Source organism: Homo sapiens, chromosome 2 (assembly GCF_000001405.40).
Source record: "Homo sapiens chromosome 2, GRCh38.p14 Primary Assembly".
NCBI lineage: Eukaryota > Metazoa > Chordata > Mammalia > Primates > Hominidae > Homo > Homo sapiens.
Window position 1 is genome coordinate 168,573,027 of NC_000002.12, and position 24,584 is coordinate 168,597,610.

Sequence of the window (24,584 nt, forward strand, 5' to 3'; positions counted from 1 at the left end):
AGGCAGGAAAGGGTTTCTGGAGGAGGTGACACTGCTGAATTTTCAATGGTGGTTACATGGACCAAATGGAGAAAAAAGGGGTGACTGGGGCACCAAAATTTCACAGATCACCACAAAAGAACATACTCATGTACCCAGACACCACCTGTACCCCAGTAACCTATGGGGGAAAAAAAGGATAAAATCACTGTTTTCTGGTGCTCAGAGTTTAAAGAGGAATCAGGCACAATAATTTAGCAGACAGCAACAGGAGCATCTAGCTTTCCCTGGGGACAGGGCTGAGTCATCATATTGCAAATGAGTGAGTGCTTGTTGGGTAGCAAACCAGATTTGAAATCAACAAATCTAAGAATTGGTCAATGTAGAGAGCTTCTTGTGAATAAATTTTATGATAGATTTGGGGGACAGAGTTACTATTGAAGTATATAGGCTAAGTGGGTTATATTACAATTTATATTATTTTTATTTTTCAAAGGAACAGTGTTTATCTAGTGATACCCATGGGACAAGTGACCATCCTGTAGTAGGATTCTGCCAGACATTCCAACCTTGGCACATATACCATTAAGCCTTGCAGTGTTTATCATTGTTCTAGGTGCCGGGAGTCACTGAGATTGGAAATGCCTTATTTAGGACCTTTGGTGCTCATTATCAGTGGAACCCAGCTTTCATGCAGATCTGTCATGGAACCTTCTCTCAGTTCTCCTTTCCTTCTCTGTGGGTGGCTGGGGGTGGAGCAGGAGTAGGTGAGGGGTTGGAGCAGGCCCCAATAGTAGGAGTGGTTTTGGCTTGTATCAGGTCCCACTAAGTGATCTGAAGCCTGGGATATGGTTTGCAGAAAAATAGAAACTGAGTGAGAAATTCTCAGTGTATGAGGAATGTAGGCTATGTAGTATTTTATGAGAAGGTAGGAAGGGATTAAAACTGCACCTGTAGCACTAGTTGATAGGTCCAAACAGATCTCCAGAAGTAGCCAAATGCAGAATTTCTTCTAACGTTGTCCTTTAGATGTACTTTTCAGTGGACACTCGTATTTCCCTTCCATTATTCATTGAGATAGTATTGCTCTACTGTTTCCTCTCCCATTTTAGTCGGGGAAATGTGTCCAACTTGAACTAATTTCAGTTCTTACTGATTCTAGTTCTGAAATAAGACTTGAACTTATGTGCATCATTTCCACTGGATTGATTTAAAAATAAAATATTGTCTTATCTGGAATTATGAAGCGTTTACATGAATCCTGGCTAAATCTTTGGCGTATTAAAACCCAAAAGCTTCTCTTACTCCATGACAGTAAGTTGTTCTTTCTGTTTCTTTCCAATACTTACGTGGCTCAATAAGTTTTGTGTGTGTGTGTGTGTGTGTGTGTGTGTGTGTGTGTGTGTGTGTCAAGCATTTACTATCTGCTGGGTTCTGTATTTGCTGCTAGATGGGAAAACAGGATCTCTTCCCTTGATACATAAATGGTAATATCTCTTTATTTTATCATCATCCTTAGGATGAACAAACAATCCTTCATTTCCTTATCCATAAAACAAGGCGATAACCTTAAAAACCTGATAAAGTTGTTATTTAATATAGTGATTAAATAAAATGATTCGTGTAAAGCACCTACGATATTGCCAAACACATAGTCAGAGCTCAAGAAAACTAATTAATTTTGATCAATTCAATTAGTATTAAGGGCTGCCAAATGAATTGAATTCACCTACCTAATCAAATAATACCATTCTAAGCTTGCTTAATACTCTTGGGTATACATTAGTACCATGCCTTTTATCGGGGCTTTGTTTCTATTAAATCCCCAAATGTTTGAAGGTATAATTATTTGGCAGATTTGATATGATGATTTTTGTTGGAGGAGTTAAAGCTCATAGTTTTATTTTCTTCTTCTTTTCCTTCTTTAAAGAAAAGCTTCTTGTTGAGAACATGATTTTCTGGCTTTCTGACTTTTAAAGTGGCATGTAATTTGAAACTGTGGTTCCTTACTTGTCTAAACAGTAGGGTGAGGTCCTTGTGGTAGAACTGGGAGGTTTCTATCTTAGGCCAAGAGGACAGCTCTGACTGCCAGCTCTACCTGCCTGTCTCTAGCACTAACCAGCCTCCTCAGCCTCGATTTCTTGAAACTTAACCTGAGTCAAAATAGTACCTTGAATTTAAAATGGGGCCATTAGAATTGTTCAAAACACATAGAGCACTGGTGCCTTATGTATTAGTCCGTTTTCACACTGCTATAAAGATATTACTGGAGACTAGGTAATTTATAAAGAAAGGAGGTTTAATTGACTCACAGTTTCTCTTGGCTTGGGAGGCCTTAGGAAACTTACAATCATGGCAGAAGGCAAGGGAAAGCAAGGCAGGCACGTCTTACATGGTGGAAGGGGAGAGTGAGAGTGAGGAAGTGCCACTTCCTCACTCTCTTTAAAACTATCAGCTTTCGTGAGAACTCACTCACTATCAGCAAACTGCCCCCATGAACCAATTGGCTCCCACCAGATCCCTCCCTTAACATGTGGGGATTATATTCTGAGATGAGATTTGGGTGGGGACACAGAGCCAAACCATATCACCTTGTAAGCACATAATAAATGTTAGCTATTATACTAGTGATAGCACTATAGTAGCACTGTGATTGCCTCTGAAGCAAAGAAGGGCCTTCTCTGTGTGGACTCCCTTCTTGAACAAGTTTTTATTCTTTTCCTAAGAATTTTATGAGAATTTATAACAATCCATTTCTCTCTGGCTTGTGCTGTCAGGTGGGGCTGCCATGCTTCTTCTCACCCCTTGGCCTTTGCTCAAGTTCTGCCCACCTGCCCCAACCTGGGATGCCCTTCCCCTACTGTGACAAATACCTGCCTCTCCATTAAGACTCAGTTCACCTTCATTTAGGAAACCGTGGATATTTACTGGGTGACGACTCTATGCCAGGAATGGTACTTAGTGTCTAATGAAGTTGCCTTAGAGAGGAGCACAGAGCGTTTATTTGTGGTAACAGGAAGGGAGTCCAGGCAGGGACATAGGGAGGTAGAGTTAGGTAAGTCTCTCCTGGTTGTCTCCATCATCCCAGTGAAATAGGAGACAGGGACATCAGAGGAGAGCAAATCATAAGCTGTGTGGCCTCCCCTGCTCCATGAAGGACGCCTCCTACCCCCATTCTCTTTTTCCCAAGCAGAGTTGATGGTCCCCTCATTTGTGTGCCCCTTTAATAGTAATGGCAACAGCCCAATGCTCTTGCTTAACATTTCTTTTTTATCTGCAGACTGTAAATTCCTTCATGACAAAGAGCCAGTCTTATCCTTTTTTGAGAACCCAGCACCTAGGACTGATTTGCAATGTGTTTGTTTCATTTACTGCCCAAATACATTTTGAGTGCCTACTTTATGCCCAGCGGTCTTGTAAGTGCTTGGGATATGGTTTACATTTCACTGGGGAAGGACACAGTAGACAAATTCTCCCCATTATCTTCCCTTCAATTTCTTTTATATTTCTATTTCTTTCCAGATACAGTCCAATCAAGATTTGTACATTAAAGTTCTCTTAATTTTTTTGTTTTGAAACAATTTTTTTATTTTGAAAACTTATAGAGAAGTTTGAAGAATAGTATAAAGAAATCCTGTATAAACCCACCCAGATTCACCACTGTTAACATGATGCCATACTTGCTCTGATGTTTTTTCTGTTCCTTCTGTACAAGTGTGCACACACACCTATACACACATACATACATACATACACATATGTTTTTCATGAACTGTTTGAGTGGAGGCCTCAGATTACACTTTATTTTGAAGATAAATAGAATCTTCTGGGAGATTGGTTGTGTGGTATGAGAGAAAGTGAGAATTCAAGAATGACGCTTGGGTTTTAGCCTAGGCAGTTAGACAGAAGGAGTTGCCCTTGAGTGGGTTGAGGAAGCGTGAGGGAGGAGCAAACCTGGGGAGAAGTCCAGGATTTTGATTTTGGTCATGTGAATCTGGAGGTATCTATTAGATATCTATGCAGAGGAGTGCTGTAGGCAGCTGGATAGGTGAATGCACAGTTCAGGGAGGAGGTGTGGACTTGGCAGTTGTTGGTGAATAGATAGTGTGTAAAGCCTCGAGACGGTGCGAGATCTCAAAGAGAGTGAGGGTAAGTAGAGGAAACATCTGAGGATGGAGGCTTGAGACAGCCTCGTATGAGAGGTTATGGAATTGAGGAGGAGCTGATAAAGGAGGCTGTGAAGGAGATAGGTGAGTGAGGAGGCCAAGAGAAGAAGACATTCATCGTTGGCTGTGTCACTACTCACAGTCCATGTAGCAACATGCAAGTCATTCGGTGTCTGCCAAGAGCAGTTTGGGTGGAAGGTCTTAAGACAAAATGGAGGAGAGAAGTTGCAATGTGGGAACTCTCGAGAGGTTTGTTATAAAAGAGAGGTCCAGAAAAAGAGAATAGTCATTAGAGGAGGAATTTGGGGTTAAGGATTTTTTTTTAACAAGGGAAAAATGATGGCTTGTTTGTATACTGATGGGAATGATCCAGCAAAGAGGGAAAAATGGATGATGCCTGAGAGGAGAGAAATGGCAAGAGCCGAGCCTTGCCCAGGCAGGAGGCGCTGGGGTGTGGAGCACAGTCAGGAGTTGCCTTAGAGAGGAGCACGGAGCATTCATTTGTGGTAACAGGAGGGAAGTCCAGACAGGGGCATAGGGAGGCAGAGTCAGGTAAGTCTTTCCTGGTTGTCTCCATCATCCCAGTGAAATAGGAAATGGGCATCTGAGGAGAGTGAAGAGGGAGGAGGAAGTATTAGCATTTTGAGGAGTGGGGAGAAAGTGTGAAACAATTTTCTGGAGGTGTATTGATTAATTTCTTTGTTTGGCCTATCTGCATGTGGGTGGCAGATAGTGAGGGCGAGGGACACAAGTACATTGTCGTTTCTGGGGAATAAGAGGTGTAGGTGCCAGTAGGGTGCGGTCACTCACAAGTCACTATGTCCCAGTCCAAAAGCCCAGGAGTGGGGTGGAAACTTCACAGTGTGATGAATCACTATAGGAATGGGAAACTAGGTTGAAAGCAGCGTTGGGAGGTTTGGAGCCCTCGCTCAGATATTTGGTGCAGATTAGCTGCAGGCATTTGTCAGACCAGGCTGTGGAACTGATATCAACCAGTAAACTTTTTTTTTTTTTTTAATCATTTCCACATTGTTTACAGGAAGAGAGAGGGCAAGTCTCTTATGTCCCTCAGTCAGTCTGTAGCTTTTGAAGATACTGAGGATGTAAAACCAACCTATGGAGCCTACTTTGCATATGACCACCTTGAAGGAAAACGTTACCATGTTCATAAAGTACTTTTGTGTCTTTTAGTTCATTATCCAGTAAGCTGCTGAGGTAGTAAATTTTTGTTAAATTGGATGATGTTCCATTCTAAACTCCCTTCTCTCCTAAGAAATTCTGTGCCACATACTGAAGATGCTTAAGCTGCCACATGAATTTCTCTTGAGTTTTAGATGATTTGATGCATTAGATGTTTTTATTTAATTTAAGCTTTTAATTTCAGGAAGCACATCCAGATATGCCTGCAGCCAACCAGACAGTTTTCTAAAGCTGTATAAAAATAAGAGAGAAAGGAGAGAAAAGAAAAAAAGCAGCATGTTTTTATTTCTTTTCTAGTTTTTTCTCTTTATACTTTGCATATTATATCCTCATTAGGTGTTTTAGATCCAGGTTTCTTGCTTTTAAAAAAAGGTTTTACTTGGAAGACAACCAAATAAGCAAATAAAAACCGTAAGGGATGCATTGTAAAATCCTATGGGTGTAAATTTTCTTGGTGCCTAAAAAGTAATCCTCGGCCTCTGATAATTATCTCAACATTTTTTTCCTAACATTATTAAATGTCTCTGTTTACAAGATATGATTTCATGGCTGAACTCAAATCAGAGACTTATATATAAATATAATAAAGTTTTAATCTGAACAAGAACAAAATAACAATTCCTTTGGTTAAATATAATAAAGGTTTAATCTGAACAGGAACACAATAATTCCTTCGGTTATTTTTATTATGAAAATTTTGATTGCCCAAAAGAAGAGAGAATAGTATAATGAATTCCCATGTATCCATCATACAGCTTTGACAATGGTACACATTCTGCCATCTTCTTATGATATTAATTTTTAAAGGGAAAGTTGTAAAAATTATTTTGAAGACTTTGGTATAGTATATATTTCTTGGGAGGAAAAGTGGTGGTGTGATTGTCAAGGAGCCCGTGGAGTTGGGGGGGCACTGGAGAGCAGCCCTCACTTTTTTTTTATAGATAAAACATATGGGATATAGGTTCAAGGTAATGTATTTAATATGGGTTGGGGCTTTCAAATTAGAGACCTAGAGCTTGCAAAGGTGTTTTTAAAAAAATCCTGTCTCTTAGTTCTCCATGGCCTCAAGTCCACCAGAGTCACCAATACTTCTTTTCCAATTCCTTCCTTGCGTGCCATGCTCTAGTAAGAATGAACTGCTCAGAGTTATCTGTGCATTCCATCCCAGGGACCTCCACACCCCCTTTTCTTCTACGTTTGATTCTTACTCATTTCTTTGAAGTCTAGCTTAGGCACCCTTTCTCCTCTGAGATTTCTACTCATCACCCCAACCCTTGCCTGGCACAGGTATACCCACCTGGAGCTCCCATGAGAGCCCTCCCCGTCTCTGCTGTGCTCTGGATTAAGATCCAATCTGGAAACCCTGGCCTGCAGGGCTCTTCATGGTCCAGATCTGGGCTGTGGACCTGCCTGACTTCATCTCTCCCAGCTCCTCTCGCTGCGTGTCAGTGATGTCAAGGTGCTCTCTGCTTGCTGGGCTCGTTCCTGCCTCTTGGCCTTTGCGCTTGCTTTCCCATCATCCTGGAACGTTCTGCTCCACATTTTCAACTTTCTGCATCTCCCTAGTGCCCCCCAATCCATAGTCCCCTTGATAATCACAACGCCACTTTTCCGCCCAAGAAATATACTCTATGCCAACTTCTGCGCTAATCATTGTCTTAGTTTGACTCACATCCTTGCCATTTAACAAGTATTCCCAAACACTATAATTTAGTTTTGCCTATTTAAAAACCTAATACAAGTAGAATGTGCTTAGATGTGTTTCTTATAGATAACATATGGTGGGATTTTGTTTTATTCAGTCCGGACACATTTGTTTTTTTTCCACCAGATCTTATTTCATATGTGCTTAATATAATCATTTTTACATGCTTTTACATCTTCATCTTGTTTTGTGCTTTCTATTTTTGCCTATTTTATGTTCTTTCTCTCCCTTTTCTTGACTTGATTCCATTTTCCCTTTTAGTTTTGAAATTATAGACTCAATTTTTAGTTATTTTGGTGGTTATCCTAGAAATTACAACGGGTATACCTAAGTTATCAAAATCCAATGTTGACCCCTCTTTTACCCTCCTAGAAAATCCAAGGTGTTTAGAGTATTTTATTTCCATGTTCCCTCTTCTGACTTAAGTTACTTTTGTCATGCCTTTTATTCTGTATTTTTAATCTTAGAGACATTATTAACCTTAAACAACAGAGACAATTTTTTAAAGATTTGCACACATATTTACCACTTTTTTTGTTTTTAATTCATTTTTGTACCCAGACCTTCCATTTGGAATCACTTTAATTTTTGTCTGAAGATCCTTGAGGCCTGCTAGAGATGAAATCTCTTGGTTTTTGTTGTCTGAAAATGAGTTTATTTCTTCCTCATTCTTGAAGATTTTTTCTCTGAGTATAGAATTCTAGTCTAGCAGTTATTTCCTTTCAGTATAATGATTATATCATCGCACTGTCTTCTTGCTTACATGCTTGCCACAGAGAAGCCATAGTCACTCTGTCATTCCTTTGAAGATAATGCCCTTTTTATCCCTGTAGGCTTCAAGATTTTCCCCTTAGTCTTTGTCTTTCTGTATTGCAATTAAAAATATATGTATTCCTCTCGAGATTCTCTGGGCCTTCTTAAATCTATGAATCTATGGATTGCTATCTTTTTTTTTTTTTTGAGATGGAGTCTTACTCTGTCACCCAGGCTGGAGTGCAGTGGTGCAATCTTGGCTCACTGCAACCTCTGCCTCCCAGGCTCAAGCAATTCTCCTGCCTCAGCTTCCCAAGTAGCTGGGATTACAGGTGAGTGCCACTACACCTGGCTAACTTTTATATTTTTAGTAGAGACAGTGTTTCACCATGTTGGTCATGCTGGTCTTGAACTGCTGACCTGTAGTGATCCACCTGCTTTGGCCTCCCAAAGTGCTGGGATTACAGGCGTGAGCCACCATGCCTGGCCCAATTGCTATCTTTATCAGTTCTGGAAAATTCTCAGTCATTACTTCTTTAAATATTGCTGCTTCTCTACTCTCACTATTTTCGTTTTCTGTAATTACAGTTAAATGTATTTTAGATCCTCTCACTACCCTCATGAGTTCTAACTTCCCTTCCATGTTGTTCATTGTTTCTGTTTCTCTGGCCATATGTTAGATGTCATCTGACATATCTTTCAAATCACTAATTCCCTTTTAACTATTTCTGTTTATTATCTTCTCCTTCTAGTTTTTAGTTTGGTTAATATATATTTTTATTTATAAAAGTTCTGTTTCATCTTTTAAAAACCTGCTTGTTCAGTTTTCATAGTTTCCTGTTCTTTGCAGATACTTTTTATGTGGTCTTTTATTTTTTTACATAGGGGAAGCATAGTTGTTTTACAATCTGTATTTGACAGTTCCAGTATTTGCGGGTGTGTTTCTGATTCTGATTCATGGAACCTGTTTTTCCTTGTGTGCTTAATTGTGTACTACTCTTTGTTCTTAGGAAATATTAAGGAGGGAGAATCTTGAGGCCTAGGAAGATGATGATTCTCTCAGAGAGTTTATGCTTATGCTCCTGTCCGGCATGGACGATACCCCAGCCCAGGATCACCCCAGACCAAGCACATGACTTACCATGACTCCCAGGCCCACCTGGGCTAACTCCCCATGACCGTAACCACCTTGGTCATGATCACAGTTGTGGGTCTCTTACCACAACTTCTCATGGTGTTATTTTCCTTTCCCTTTTTCTCTTCTTCTGCTTAGTGTCAAGGCAACCATCCCTGAAGTTTCCCAGAATTGGGGGTAGAGGTAGGGTTTATGTATGGCACACACTCATCCTATGGATGTTATATCTTGGGGTCCCAGCTTAATATGCGCAGTGTCTTCTATAATATCCTCCACATTAGGTAGGCACTGGGCCTAGATTCTTCCCCCTTTCCTCCAGGGGCTGCCAAAACAGAAACCCAGATTAACTCATGGTGGAGATGCCTTTGGGCCAGAAGGAGCTGTGGTGTTCTACTTAGGTCTCTGGGTTCCTAGTTTCCCTTAGATTTTTATCCTGAGAGCTTCTTACTATCTTGTCACCTCTGATGCTTTTAAGGATATTTTTTAAGTTGAGAAGTTTAGTTGTTTTAAATAGAGAGCAAGGGGTTTGTCTGACTAGCCTAGCCTGCTGTGTCTGGGAAAGGAAGTATTAATAAGACCTTAAATCATTTAATAACTATCATCTAGTACTGAAAAAAAAACGCGTGCTATGCAAACATAAGGTTTCAAATGTGGTCAGTCAGGATTTTGAAAACTAGAATTTTCATACACCTTTATTTTACGTGATGCATTATTTTAATATTGATGTGAAGTTAAACAAGGTCAGTTTGACCTTGTGTCCAGTGCAATTCCCAAATTTGACTGCTGCAGTTTACTGAAATTGCATACATACAACAGCTTTAGGTGCCTGGATTCACAGTGAGCTAGTGAAATAGCTGGTGATTTCATAGTGAGCCAGTGAAATAGCCATCCTTCCCAAGCACCCACAGTGTACAGTTATGGTATAGAGGGGCCTTGATGGGCATGGCCTTTGAAAGACATGAAAGCTATAGATTAGCCTATATTGTTGTCTGGTATGTAGTAGGTAATAACTGACAAACAGACAATTGCCTAACATGTGCCAGAAAACAACATAGGCAAGGCTTGCAGTTACAAAATAATGCATAGACAAATGTACATTTAATCAAATTTGGCTGGCTTGAGGGAATGGTTGATATACACAGCACAGACTGATCAATTTGGTAGTGTTAAGCAGAAAATCGCTCTTATAGGACAAGAATCTTGTAAAATTTTGAACCTTAGAAATATGCACTAATGACAGTGTGGTGTAGGAATAGATAGTGATGGGGAGGGCGTCGAGACAGGTACAAATAAGTAGTGTGTGTTGATTGACGGGCATGTCCTTTTGGCAAAGAGAGACTCCACCAAGAAAGTGATTGGGAAATGAGCTAAGAAAAGTGTGAGAGAAGAAGACACTTCAGTTCTGACATTCAAGAAACAGCCCCACTCTGATTTGGATAGGGGCAAAGCCTAACTATAGATCATTTTTCAGCCAACTACAGAATCTTTTTAGCTTTCCTTGCTTCTTTTTCATTTGCTTTCTCTTTCGAATTTGAGGAGTAGATTGCAGTTTAACCACATGCTATGAGCTCAGGCCTCTTGGGTGGCCTCCCTGGGTCTTAGACCAAACCAGTCATTAGGCTTTTAGAGAATAATTTTAAAATGCCATCCCTTAATATTGTCAGGGTTGTTTGAACTATGAGAAGAAGATAATGAGCATGAAGCAGGACCTTTAGAGGACTAGGTTGTCTGGAGTTTGTAGTTAGTTGAAAGGCTACAGGGTCCATTTATTCCTGTAATTTTATTTGCCTTCCTGCTCTGATGTATCATTATTTGTCATCCATGGATATGGAATTCATTCTATCATTCAATAAAATGAATGCTGACTCTGTGCTGGCTGCTTTTCGAGGCCTTGTGAATATTCTCTGTTTGGCGATTATTGTAATGGCCTTTTGCCATCATGACCTGGCCTTTTGCCATCATGACAGCATCTGACATGTACTGACATGTACTGAATACTTAGAATGTACCAAGATCGCTTCCTTAGTCATCTTATTTAATCCTTCCAACACTCTCATTGGGTAGATGATTTTACCCTAATTTTCAAAAGGTTAAGCAGTTTACCCACGATAGGTAGTGAGAGTCAGGATCTGTGTGTGACTGGCCCTAATGCCTATGCTTCCTAAGTAATTTCCTAAGTAATCAAAGCTGCTTTTAAGATTAACTTTCTCCAAAGATGCAGGTATTGCTCATTCCTTTTTTATAGCTGAGTCACAGACATAATGAATACTGCCAGTGAGCTGCAGTGAAACTGTATCTTTAAAAGAAAAATGTTTTTTAGGTTTCTCAATTCCCATGTTTTTGCTGTTTGCGTGATACCCCTCTGTGGAAATTAACAAACCTTTTGCTGTTGGTTTTTCAGTAATATCTATCTACATAGAAAAACTTCACAGTGGAATCTGTTTGTGTAATATGTGTGAGAGAGAGAAAGACAGACATAATGCTGTCATGATTAGTAAGCCATGACCAAACTGTATGTGCACATACACACAGCTTCTGTGGGTCTCACTGAGACTAAATTTGGCCACACATTCCCTAATTTATTTTTACACAATTTCCCTGTTTCACTGTAGACCTTTTCCCTAACATCAGTTTATCCCAACGACTCTGTCAAAACAGATAATAGTGGGGCACCAATTACTTGGAGTTTGATAACACTATTTGAATTAAAATCTATTCACATACTTCAAGGCATCCTTTCACTGAAATTGAGAGGTACTCATTGGCAACTTGATATGGAGAATTTGGGGCAAATTCCTTTTTTAACTCTAGACATCAACAAACAAAAATGGCTGCAAGAAATTGTGGGGTTTTTTGTTTGTTTTTTGTTTTATGACACAAAGTAGTTAAGAGCAAGGCTTGGATTAGTTTCCTGTGAAATGGTTGGAGGAAGTAGAAAATATGTAAGTGAATATTATCTCTGGATTTATGGCTGCACTCATTGTCAATTTTTGAGCTCTCATTGAAAGAGATGGCAGAAAGAGTTAGCAGGATTTCATCTCCTGTCTTAAGGATTTAACAAAAAGAAATGCCAACTCCATATTTGCTGAGCTATAACAGGTGGTTGATTCTTCCAGTTGAAGTGGTACTGAGCATGCAAATGGTTTGTGTTCCTTGACCCATGTCAGGAAACACACAACTCACTGATTCTCTGGGGCCCAGCCATTGATAGAAGTGGAGATTCATGCTTACAGGCTGCTGAATGAACAGCACCTGCCTGGGCCCAGATAGAATGAGTTTAAGACCAGATTCTTGGTCACCCTCCTTCCTTCACTCATTCATCTAACAGTATTCATCAAGCACATATCATATGCTGGGCAATAGGTGCAGGAGACAGTGATGGACAAGGCATGGTGTCATTCCCCAAGGAGCTCATGTTCTACGTTCTTCTGCTATCCCTGTCTCTTCCCTGAAAAGTATGGTCTAATGATTAAATGCTCAGGCTACGAAGTCAGACAGATCTGAACTAAAGCCTTCTGCTTACCAGATGTGTGATGTTGGCCAAGCCAATTCTGCCTCAGTAAGACTCCCTTTCTTCATGTACAACATAGGTGGAAGGCAGGTCATATAGGGAAAGGTCTTTTCACCATGCCTGTGGTGTGGCAGATGCTCCATAGATGTTACCTAGCACCACTGAAGTTTTCTAATTGTTATGATTACATTCTGACCCTAGGGTTTGAGGAAAAAAGAAAAGTGTTTGAAATAAATGGGAAGAATGTGGATCATGGATATGCCAGAAGGAAGAACCAGAAGCTCATAAAGACAGAGTAGAAGTCCATCAGAAAAATAGGTGGGCTGGTCCTTCACAAATCTTGGGCCACGTCTCCCTGTGTGACATCTTTCCCCTTCCGGGCATCATTTCAACCTGATTTCTTTAAGTTCAAATGTTGCACAACTAGGGAGGGAAATGTTGCACAACTAGGGCATTTAGATTCTGCAATATACGTTATCTTGAGTGCCATCCTTGCTAATGGCAGGTTAAGATACTTTAGTTTTTTGAGACAGGGTCTTACTCTGTCACCCCAGCTGGAGTACAGTGGCATAATCACGGCTCACTGCAGCCTTGACCTCCCAGGCTCAAGTGATCCTCCCATCTCAGCCTCCCAGTTAGCTGGGACTACAGGCTTGCACCACCACACCTGGCTAATTTTTGTATTTTTTTTTTAGAGATGGAGTTTTGTGATATTGCCGGGGCTGGTAAGATACCTTTAAAAAAAAAAAAAAGGAAAAAGGAAGCTTACCATGTGTAGTGCTGTCTTTTAGATAGTCGAAGATGACACTTTGATTTACAATTAAAGAAAATCAGTACTAAAACAACGTTTCTTTCCTTTGCCCATTATAAAACACCCTTTGAAAGCATTTGTATAAAATATGCCTCATTTTTTTTTTGGTGGAAGCCATGTTATTTTCAGTGGAAATGAAGATAATTGCAAATTAGATTTTGCCCAAGTATATATAAGAGGTGTGCATTTTATTGTTTTTCCTCCTTATGTACCTTGAGGGAAGTTTCAGAAGGCTGTCCGATCTTCAAATATAGCAAAGACTGTGTTTATTGGAAATATTTTAACTGTGGAGTTACCCAACACTAGACACATAGATAAAATGATTGTTTGGGGTCCATTTTTTCATTTTATTGTCCATAAGTTTCACACGTTGTCATTGGCTTTATGGTTCTGAAATTCAGGCTTGAATTCTGTCTGTACCCCTGATAAGCACATGTCCCTGAGGAAATCCCTTAATTTTTTAAGCAAATTTCCTGTCATAAAAAGTGAGAAGAATGTTACATATTTCAGAGGGCCATTGTGAGATTTAAATAATATAAAGTGTTAAATTTCTTGGCACATTCCTTGATATATACTAGGGGTCCTTAATAAATGTTTATTGAGGTCAGGCATGGTGGCTCACGCTGGTAATTCCAACACTTTGGGATGCTGAGGTGGGCGGATTACCTGAGGTCAGGAGTTTGAGACCAGCCTGGCCAACATGGTGAAACCCTGTCTCTACTAAAAATACAAAAATTAGCTGGGCATGTTGGTGTGCGCCTGTAGTCCCAGCTATGCGGTGGGTAGGGGAGCTGAGGCATGAGAGTCCCTTGAACCTGGGAGGCAGAGATTACAATGAGCCAAGATTGTGCCAGTGCAGCTGGGCTGAGCGATAGAGCAAGACTGTCTCAAAAATAAATAAATATAAAATAAAATAAAATATAAAGTAAAACAAAATAAAAGTTTATTGAAATGGAATCATTATGTCTGGTTTCTTCATTCTCAGATGCATATTACACTTTGAGATTTGCCCCTCTGTGGATTTCATGAAATTGTGTTACAAATGACCAGGGCTGACCTGAGGAGATCATATCCTGTGGTAGTTACTGAACAGGGTAGCATACCAAGTGGTATGACATGATTATTTTGATGATGTGTTGGTTACACCAATTCAGGAGCCAGAGATGGAGTTGAAAATAAGCGCAGAGCAGTGCTGCTCCTTGCCAAGGGCCTTTGTGTAATGAAGGTTTTCTTGGCCTCTGCCTCAATGTCAAGTGATGATTGTGTTAAGTGCTTTTTCTTCTCTGTTTCCTTTGGCCAGAGGTAGTTGCTAAGTGTCAGCTCCTGGCTGTGAAAAACCGTCTTTGCCTTTCTGGAAGGAGTAGTTTGAGAAAAAAAATGCTTCAGTGAAGGCATGTGGTATACAGGCAAAGTTGGTGTGATTAATATGTAATACAATTAACATATTAATATATAATATGATTAATATATAATATAGTAAGTTTTTAAAGAAGTTGAGGGCTTTTCATTTTAATGTATGATTTTCTTAAATTGCATTTTAACAAGTAGAACATCATAATGATATAGTAGTATAACATTATTATTCTTGCCAAAATTTATTGCGCTCCTGCTCTGGGCAAGTACTGCTCTAGGTGCTTTATTATTTCATTATATTTTACAGACAGTGTTTCACTCTTGTTGTCCAGGCTGGAATGCAGTGGCGCAGTTATAGCTCACTGCAGCCTCGACCTTCTGGGCTCAGTGATCCTCCGGCCTCAGCTCAGACTGAAGATGTATGCCACCATACCTGGCTAATTTTTTTTTTTTTTTTTGGTAGAGATGGGATCTCTCTCTATGTTGCCCATGCTAGTATCGACCTCCTGGCCTTAAGTATTCCTCCTGTCTCAGCCTTCCAAAATGTTGGGATTACAGGCAAGAGCCACTGCACCTGGCCTTTTGTATTTTTAATTGTGGCAAAATAGACATAGCATAAAACTTACCGTCTTACCCATTTTTAAGTGTACAATTCAGTGGCTTCTGCGTACATTCACTGTGTTGTACAATGCAACCATCACCACCATCCATCTCTAGAACTCTTTTTATCTTGCAAAACTGAAATTTTATACCCATTAAACACTTAATTTCCCATTTTTTCCCTCTCCCAGATCCCTCATAACCCCCACTCTACTTTGTTTCTATGAATTTAATGACCGTAAGTACTTTATATAAGTGGAATCACACCGTTTTTGTCCTTTTGTAACTGCCTTATTTCACTTAGCATAATGTCCTCAAGGTTCACCCATGTTTTGGTGTCAGAATTTCCTTCTTATAGGCTGAATATTCCATTGTATGTATATACCACATTTTGTTTATGCATTTATTTGTTGATGGGCACTTGGGTTGCTTCCACCTCTTGGCTACTATGAATAATCCTCTTATGAACCTGGATGTACAAATAGTTGTTCAAGACCCTGCTTTCAGTTCTTTTGTTTGTTTGTTTGTTTGAGACAGAGTCTTGTTCTATTATGAAATGGTGGGATCTCACTCACTGCAACCTCCACCTCCCGGGTTCAAGCAATTCTTCTGCCTCAGCCTCCTGAGGAGCTGGGACTACAGGCATGTGCCACCACGCCTGGCCATTTTTTTGTATCTTTAGTAGAGACAGGGTTTTGCCATGTTGCCCAGGCTGGTCTCCAACTCCTGAGCTCAGGCAGTCTGCCTGCCTTGGCCTCCCAAAGTGCTAGGACTACAGTTGTGGGCCACCACGCACAGCCCCTGCTTAGTTCTTTTGGGTATATAGAAGTGGGATTGCTGCATCATATGGAAATTCTGTTTAACTTTTTCAAGAACCACCATATTTTTCATAGAAGCTGCACCATTTTGCATTCCCAGCAACAGTAAACAAGGGTTCCAATTTCTGTACATTCTTGCCCGTACCTTTTACTTTGTTTTTTTCCTTCCTTCCTTCCTTCTCTCTTTCTTTTGTAATAGACATCCTAATAGGTATGAGTTTCGGGCTTTATTTTAAATGTACTAGTTTATTTCATCTGTTAAATTATAAGAGGTAGATAGGTCGTGCTATCTCCATTTGAAAGAAGAGGAAACAGGTATAAAGGTGTTGGCTGCTAAGAATTGGAGCTGGTATTTGAGTCAGGTAGCATGGTTCTGGGATCTGAGCTCCTACTCCCCTTCTCTGACTGCCTCCCTCGTTATATAACAATGCAGCAAGTTCAAACAATAAAGAAATGTTTGTGAAAGCAAGTGAGCTTTTTTACCCAGTTCCAATACCATGCATGCCTTCTAATTAATCTCTGAAAATGTTGGTGTCTTTCCTTCCAAATGTTGGGTGTATTTCTAGTTTTCACATGTATTTTTTTAAATATAATTTTAAAGAGTTCATGCTTTACATTTTGTTCTAATACTACTTCTTCTACTCTGCTTAATTTATTAAAGATGTCTTTCTAGTCCACTACATATAGATGTACCTCATTCTAACTTGTGATGGCATTTGGCAGAAATTTAACTTGCTAATTATTGCTTTATTGGTATAACCATTAGAAAGAGGGCTTCAAGGAACATTCTTATGTGCATATTTTATAGTTCCTTTTTCAGAATAAATTCCAAGAAATGGTATTTCTGGGTAAAAAGGCAATGAACTTTTTTTATGTTTGAGCCTCGACTGAAAAGCTGACTCACACAGACCATGAGTTAATGAAGACCTAGCTAGACAAAAGTCCTTGGCTGCCTGAAATTCGTTAAACCAGTACAGTACCTGAGAGAAGACTCCAGAAGTGCTCAGTTGACTGATAAGAGAGGTTTCAGCTGGGCATAGCCTGCTTCAGGGAACCCAACATATCAGCTAGATGTTTGACCCACTGCATTTGTCCAGATTACCAAGTGTGTTCTTGCTGTGAAATTCCTTTCACCTGGGCAACTAGGAGAGGATATGGTCATAGCTAAAAGAAATAGAAGAGTGAAGCCTCTCCTTTGGTTTAAAGGCTGTGCTTTAATTTGATCTTTTGGCCATTTTAAACTTAGGTTCAGTAACAAATTTAAATTAGGCTATCATATAAACGATGTTATCAGAGAAAAATTACTACCAAATAAAAACGATATTTGAAATAAACTATCAGACTTATATACACGTATGTATGTATGTATTTATAAATATACATTGTGGGTAATTCTAGTGTATGTCAGGGACATGATATTCCTGTTAATGTAAGCCACTTGGAAGTGAAGTTTCAAAGTAAAATTGCTTTTTTACCACCATTATGTAAGAGTATATAAAAGTTAGAGAATTTTAGAAAATAAGTAAGACTATTTTAGTATAATTAGTGAAAGCATTTTTCAATGTATAATTTTGTTTTTTAATATAGTTGTGGGGTCATGTTACGTATACAATTTTGTCTCCTGTAAAGCACTACACTTAAATGTGTACTATTAGTGGTGGACATTGGATTAAGCATCCTATTAATACATTGATTAACTTGTGTGATCTTTACAATGCCCATCTGTGGTAGGTTCTGTTTTTGTTCTCATTTTATAGACAAGGAAACTGAGAAATAGAGAATTGGAATAACGTGCCCAAAGCCCATAGCTAGGAAGGTGAATTACCACAAACACTGAATCCAGATAATTGGTCATGTTCTCTACTTATAGAGAGACAGGTGGGATTTGCATCTTGCTGCCTCGTATGGCATTAACACCCCATGTTAGTGCCATCTCTTTGTATATGCTTGCTTCAATAGCTATATAATATTGCATCTATTGGATGGTCCCAAGGTTTATTTAACTATTATAATATTATCTAGGACTAGTCTTAATATGTCTTTTATTATTATAAATGTCATAGGGCTGTAAACACCTCTGTGTATATTTTCCCCCTGTATTCTGGACTATCCTTGTAATAGAGTCCAAGTAATTTAATTACTGGATTAAAATAACTAAACTTCTTAAAAAGATAAAGATGACTTTTAAATTATTCAAAATTCTCTACATAGTATTGTTAGTGCTATTTCTCTTTGTCTCTAGAAGATAGCCCAAATGGCTTCACCATCCACATCATGAAGTTTCATGTTGTCCCTAGACTGTTAGCTGCAGAAAATGACTGACAGAATGAGAGTTTGATAGCCAAATTGAGATTACTGGCATTTAAACAAAATCATACTTTTAAATAACTTGGGTTAATAGTGCTATCTAGCATACAATGTGTGTCTCACCCTTGAAATACTGAGTAACTAATGTTTACACAATCATTAGTTTTAACATTAGACTTAATCTTCAAGTCAACATTATTTATTCACTAAAACCTTCAATGAAGAAAATGTGTTGTTTTTCATAGTAGAGCTTCCTTTTTCACTGACATTTAAATTTTATTTTAACTATTGGCTCTTGCAGTGCCCTAGCAAAAGACTTTCTTTCACCTTCGGGGTGTTCCTTGGTTTAATTTGATTGTTATAAAGATGCATAAAAACAGATTCTAGAAATATTTTAAAGTACGGAATTCTTGATTTCTGAGGAGTATAATTCAAAAGGAAGAGTAACCTGGACCTTCTCAAACTTCGTTAGATTTTAGAGAAGGGGACTGTGGAGGGAGAAGTACAATCCCTTTCTAATGGAATAGAGTGAATCTCCGCATGGACCCTCAATGCTGGGATACCAAATAGATCAGAGCGGGGAATAGCAGGATTGAGGCATTCTTTTCATAATTGGGCCTCAGGGTGCCCAACTCTTCATTTTGTTGTGTTGCCGACTTTCAACTGAGTGTCAAAGAATTGCATATAAGACAATTCTGATGGAACTTTGGATTTAGGAGGGGGGATGAGAATAAAATAAATGCCCCAAATGGGAGGAATGTGTATTATTACATGTACTTGACTTACCAAAAGCCATAGGGCTTCAAATGGGGTGAGTGAACAATGTTTTTAAGGATATGTGAGCTTAGTGGAGGAGGTGGTGTTTCAGAAAGACTGGAGAGAGTGGACTGAATTTTGAGTAGCAGAAAATGGTGAATGGAAAGACTCTTCCAGCTGTGGGCAGAGGCACAGCCCAGGAAAGCACTGGAGAGCCTGAGCTGCCCCACTGGCTGGAGCTCAGGACGTGGGAAAGGGAGGTGAGGCTAGAGAAGCAGATGGGGCCAAGTGGGGAGGGCTCTGGAAGCCAGCAGCAGAACCTTAACCGGGGCAGCAATGGCAGTCACTGAGGGTTTTGAGCAGGAAGGGTATTTGATAGGAGATTAAATCAAGCAGGTTAACCAGCAGCATGCAGCATGGGGTGGAGGCAGGCTGTTGGTGTGGTGCCCTGCAGAATTAGCAGGAATGAAAGGCTGGGGGCAGTGGGGAGGAGCAATTTCAGGAACAGTGGAAGCTCACTGTGCCCAGTGACTAATTGGCATTTACCCCTGTGCAGCAGGGTGGAGGGGTGGATTTTCCTCAGCTGTTACGCTGCTGTGAGTTGGAAGAAGGGATTGGGAGACCATCAATATTATGACAAAAAATACCCATTCCTCTAATAACAGCTTCATGAAAGTGGCCCTTTTTGGGTGTTATTATGTATATTAGTTCCTACTGCTGTAACAACAAATGACTACAAACTTAGTGGCTTAAAATAACACAAATATATTCTCTTACCATTCTAGGGGCCAGGAGTCCAAGTGGTTTCACTGGGATAAACTCAGGGTGTCAACCTAGCTGTGTTACTTCTGCAGAAGCTGTATTACTTTACAGGAGAGTTTGTTCCCTGGCCTCTTCTAGTTTAATCTAGAGTCCACCTGGGCTTCTTGACCCTTCCTCCACTTTGAAAGCTAGCAGCATAACATCTTCCAATCTTTTTCTCTCTATGACACTCCTATTTCCTCTAATTCTGTTGCCTCCTTTTTTCCCTTATAAGAACTTCTGTGATTACATTGGGTTCACCCGAAACATCGGGATAATATCACATCTCAAAATTTTAAATTTAATCACACCAGCAAAGCCTCTTTGACCGTGTAAGGTAATATGCTTACAGGTTCTGGAGATTAGGATGTGGATATATTGGGGCCATTGCTCTGCCTGCCACATCATTTGACCACAGCTTTTTTGTCATGAGTACCTGGTGGGAATTAAAATGCCCAGTCTGCAAGTACTCTCAATTTGGAAACCGCAGTTTTCTTGATTAATCCCGTAAGTGGCAAAGTGACTTAAATAAGGGGATAAAAGAGGCATCATGTACCTGCTGTCATGATCATCACTTGCCTCTTTCCAACTTTTGAGTTTCTGTGTGTTTTGTTTTGTTTTGTTTTGTTTTGTTTGTTTTCTCCCTGTTGAGATAGTAGTCTTTCTGTGCACATAATAGAAGATATTAGCCCATTCTCTGTCACTTGTTATAAGCCGTTTAACTGTGAAGAATTTTTGACAGGTCAGGAGATTCTGGAAATTTCTTCCCCCTTTTTTAATAGTATAAAACTTTATAAAACGTCTTAACTTTTTCAAAGGTTCTAGTTTCCTTTTAGAACCTAATAAAATATTTTTCCTAGAATAACCTGTATTTATCTCCTAAGTTTGCATAAAGTTTCTAGTGTTTCATGGGAACCCTAAACTAAGTCTCCTTTGTCTTAGCACAGTAATGCCTGTTGCCAGGCAAACTTGAACCAGCCTTAACCATGACCATGAATACTCTGTTACTCTGTTTTGTGTGACAACAAGCACCAGGAATGGTATTGCTACATTGGTTTTGGTTGTACTTTCAACTTTTACCAACTATGTAATGTTTTTGTTTTATTTAAAAACTTTCAAAATTATTTTAGATCCTGTATCTTTGGGCTTATGTTAATATTCATGATTATTTCATTTCATATACAGATAACATCATGAATACTTTCCCATTAAGAGTAATTATGCTTTGTGAAAATACTATTATTATACTTATAAGAGTTATTCCTAAAGCAGAGTTTATAAAACTTCCTGAGTCCTTTATTATTAGTATCTTATGTAAATTACTTGGTGCTTCTTTGTCGAGTGACTCATTCATCAAATGAAGATACTTGTTATAATGGTTAAATTCATTCATGGGTTCATGCCTGTAATCCTAGCACTTTGGGAGGCTAAGGCAGGTGGATTGCTTGAGCCCAGGAGTTTGAGACCAGCCTGTGCAACATAGGGAGACTCCTGTCTCTACCAAAACAAATAAATTAGCCGGGCATGGTGGCATGTGCCTGTGGTCCCAGTTACTAGGGAGACTGAGGCAGGAGGATTGGTTGAGCCTGGGAGGTTGAGGTTGTGGTGAGCTGTGATCATGCCACTGCACTCCAGCCTCAATGACAGAGTGAGACCCTGTCTCAAAAAAAATTATTCATTTAAAAAATATTTACTACATGCCTGCCTGCCCCAAGCATTGTCTAGTCTCTGGGATACCTCCTTTCCACCCCAGTGTAAGTCCTGCTTACCCTTCAAAGCCCAACTCAGGTCATGTTATTACCATGAGCCCTTTCTACTATTCTTTCTCACGTGAATCTCTCCAGAGATTCTTCCCTGAGCCCCTGTGGAACTAATAATGAGCACTGCTAATTTTAGCCATTAGCCACTCTTTAGAATTATTCTCTACTTGTTTCATGTATCTTAATGTTTGTTTTTCCCCCAGCTAGACTGCCTGTGTATTCGGGCTGTGTTCAGTGAATGTATGGTGGTTTGCTGATTGATTCAAAGTGAATCTGAAGAATACACTTCCTTTCTTTGAGATTAAGAGAATTGCCTAGTGCTGTTTCAGGGCTGTGAGGATGCAGGTGCACTGGCTTGCAGCTGACTCTTAGGTACAGGAAGGCATCATGAAGGAAAGTGACCATTGTCCTCTATTGGAGTTTAGCCCTCTGTCTTGAAGAGACAGAAGCACCCTAACACTCAAAGCAGTTCATGGTTGCTTTTAAAAAAGTTTGCAGGGCCCAATTTCTGTGGCTTTTACTGGGGGAAGCATTACATAAGAGGACAAGGAGCACATGTATCCTATGCAGTGCTACAGAATAATTCCACTCCCAGCTCCTGACTTTCAGATGGTGAGATGTTTGGGAGAATATTTTCAGTCTGAAGAAAGTATTATTTATTGTTTAGTCTGAGCTTTTAGCCCACACTTCCCTTTCATGTGGTTTTTGCTTGAGAGTTCTTGGACCAAGGTTAGATTGAATGTTGAGACACTTTGGGGAGTGTAAAAATCAATGATTGAAAGAAAAGGTATAAATACCACAATTGCATTCATTCCTTTATCTCTTTATTCTCTTTTTTAATCCTGAATCTCCTTACATTGGATTATGTATAATACCAATTTTAATTGGCTGATTTTAGTGACAGCATTAAAATGTAAACTTAAATTTAAGGCTGATGGTACTTACGAAGAGTATCTCTCATTTAACATTTTCATTATACATTCAGATGTATTGCAGCAAATTGTAATGGTTTGAATTGATATCATCTTTACCTTGTCTTTATACAGACATCAAATAACATCTAATGTTTGACTCACATGAATATTGCCTTATAATTGGAAAAAAGTTATGTTGCTGTTTACATAGTTATTTAAGATTTGTGGAGATCAAAAAGAAGAATTGTATGTTTTTTTTCTTTTTGGCAGACCTTATTGTTCAATGTAAGTAGACTTAAGCGGACTTCATATTTTCTTCCAGATGTAAAGGAAAGGTGCCCAAATTGGCAAGACGTTAAAAATTATTATTAGGCCAGGCGTGGTGGCTCACGCCTGTAATTCCAGCACTTTGGGAGGCCAAGGCAGGAGGATCATGTGAGCCCAGGAGTTCAAGACCAGCCTGGGCAACAAAGCGAGACCCTGTCTCAAAAAAAAAAAAAAGGATAAAAATAAAAATTATCATTAAACTGCCAAAATTCAATATTTGTTTGTAAATGTTTATGCATCTGGCTAGTAGACTTGGATCCTAGTCATGAACCACAAAGAGAAGAGGTTCTGTGGTTATAAGATGAGTGGCTTTGGTTTTGGATCTTATTGAGGGTACCAAGTTTATTGCTGATCACAGGGTCATGTGGAATGGGACCTCAATAGGGTGGAGACCAGATTATGTGTGTGGGCGGGGGATTGGGGGGAGGGGTTGTTGTCTTCTTGGTGTAGTTTTTACTGGGCTTCCCAGCCTCCTTCCAGAAATTGTTCAGGGAAATGTAGATGAATGGCTTTGGCAGAACGTAACATGAGTGGGAAAATGTGAGATTAAAAGAAAAGCTTATATTCAGTACAGTGGCTTTTTTACTTGCCTTCATTCATTAAATCATTGTTTCAGGGCCCCATCCCCCCCCCTTTTTTTTTTTTTTTTGAGACTGAGTCTCACTCTATCATCCAAACTAGAGTGTAGTAGTGCAATCTTGGCTCACTGTAACTTCCACCTCCCTGGTTCAAGTGGTTCTCCTGCCTCAGCTTCCCGAGTAGCTGGGATTACAGGTGCGTGCCACCATACCCGGCAAATTTGTTGGTGTTTTTAATAGAGATGGGGTTTCACCATGTTGGCCAGGCTGATCATGAACGCTTGGCGTCCCAAAGTGCTGGAATTACAGGTGTGAACCACCATGCCCGGCTCCCATCCCTTTGTTGATGCACAAAATTTGGAGTTAAGAGCAAATGCTCTTAGAGTTCATGAAACTTTTTGTTTGCTCTAATATAAACTGAATTCAAGAATCCTTTTATTGTAGCAAAAGTGCATATACTCTACCTATTCTCTCTAAAAATACAATACTGTGTTCATGGCGTCTTTCCTGCTTCTTGAACTCCAATTGGTGAACATTGAAGTCAATATTCTGACTAATCTCTGACTCACTTTCACACTGCTATGAGTTTAGCTTTGTCGTGTCAGGCCCCTATTGACTTCAGTAGGGATGGCGCCAGGTTTGAGGCTGAAGAAGAGACCTGGAGCCAGTGAACAAGACATAGGGTTTTATTGGAGGGAACTTACATACAGGGACAGTCTGGTGGCAGCAGGCTTGACAGTAGAGCATTATTTATTATATAAATTGCATGCTTGTAAAAAGTATACAATTTATATAATATTTAAAGCACCCTCTAACAACCTCTGCCTGGCAACCTCCACTTAATCCAAAACAAAGAGGATCTTTCCCCTGCACACTCTCATTCCATGGACAGGCCAGGGGTTCAGATGTTCCACATAAATAAGTAATGAATCTGTCGGATGACCACTCCCGGATTCCTTAGCTCAGAACTCTGAAGACACATTCAGGTGTGTCTGCCTTACAGGGTCATTCTCAGGGTATGCTTAAGATATTGCCGTCAGGTGCATCTGCCATACAAGCTTCTACTTTTTTCAATTCCCAGATAACCATAGATGGTTGAAGGTAGGGTGC

At 39.7% G+C, this 24,584-nt stretch overlaps 1 protein-coding gene and 1 non-coding gene across 3 annotated transcripts in view; both read left to right on the forward strand.

Moving 5' to 3' along the window:
* The window catches only part of CERS6 (ceramide synthase 6), a 318,863-nt gene that overhangs the window by 116,755 nt on the left and 177,524 nt on the right, over positions 1 to 24,584 (forward strand). The window lies entirely within an intron of this gene.
* On the forward strand, positions 9,917 to 9,992 carry MIR4774 (microRNA 4774). The gene has a single exon (NR_039933.1). It is a non-coding gene; the product is annotated as a microRNA 4774 (primary transcript).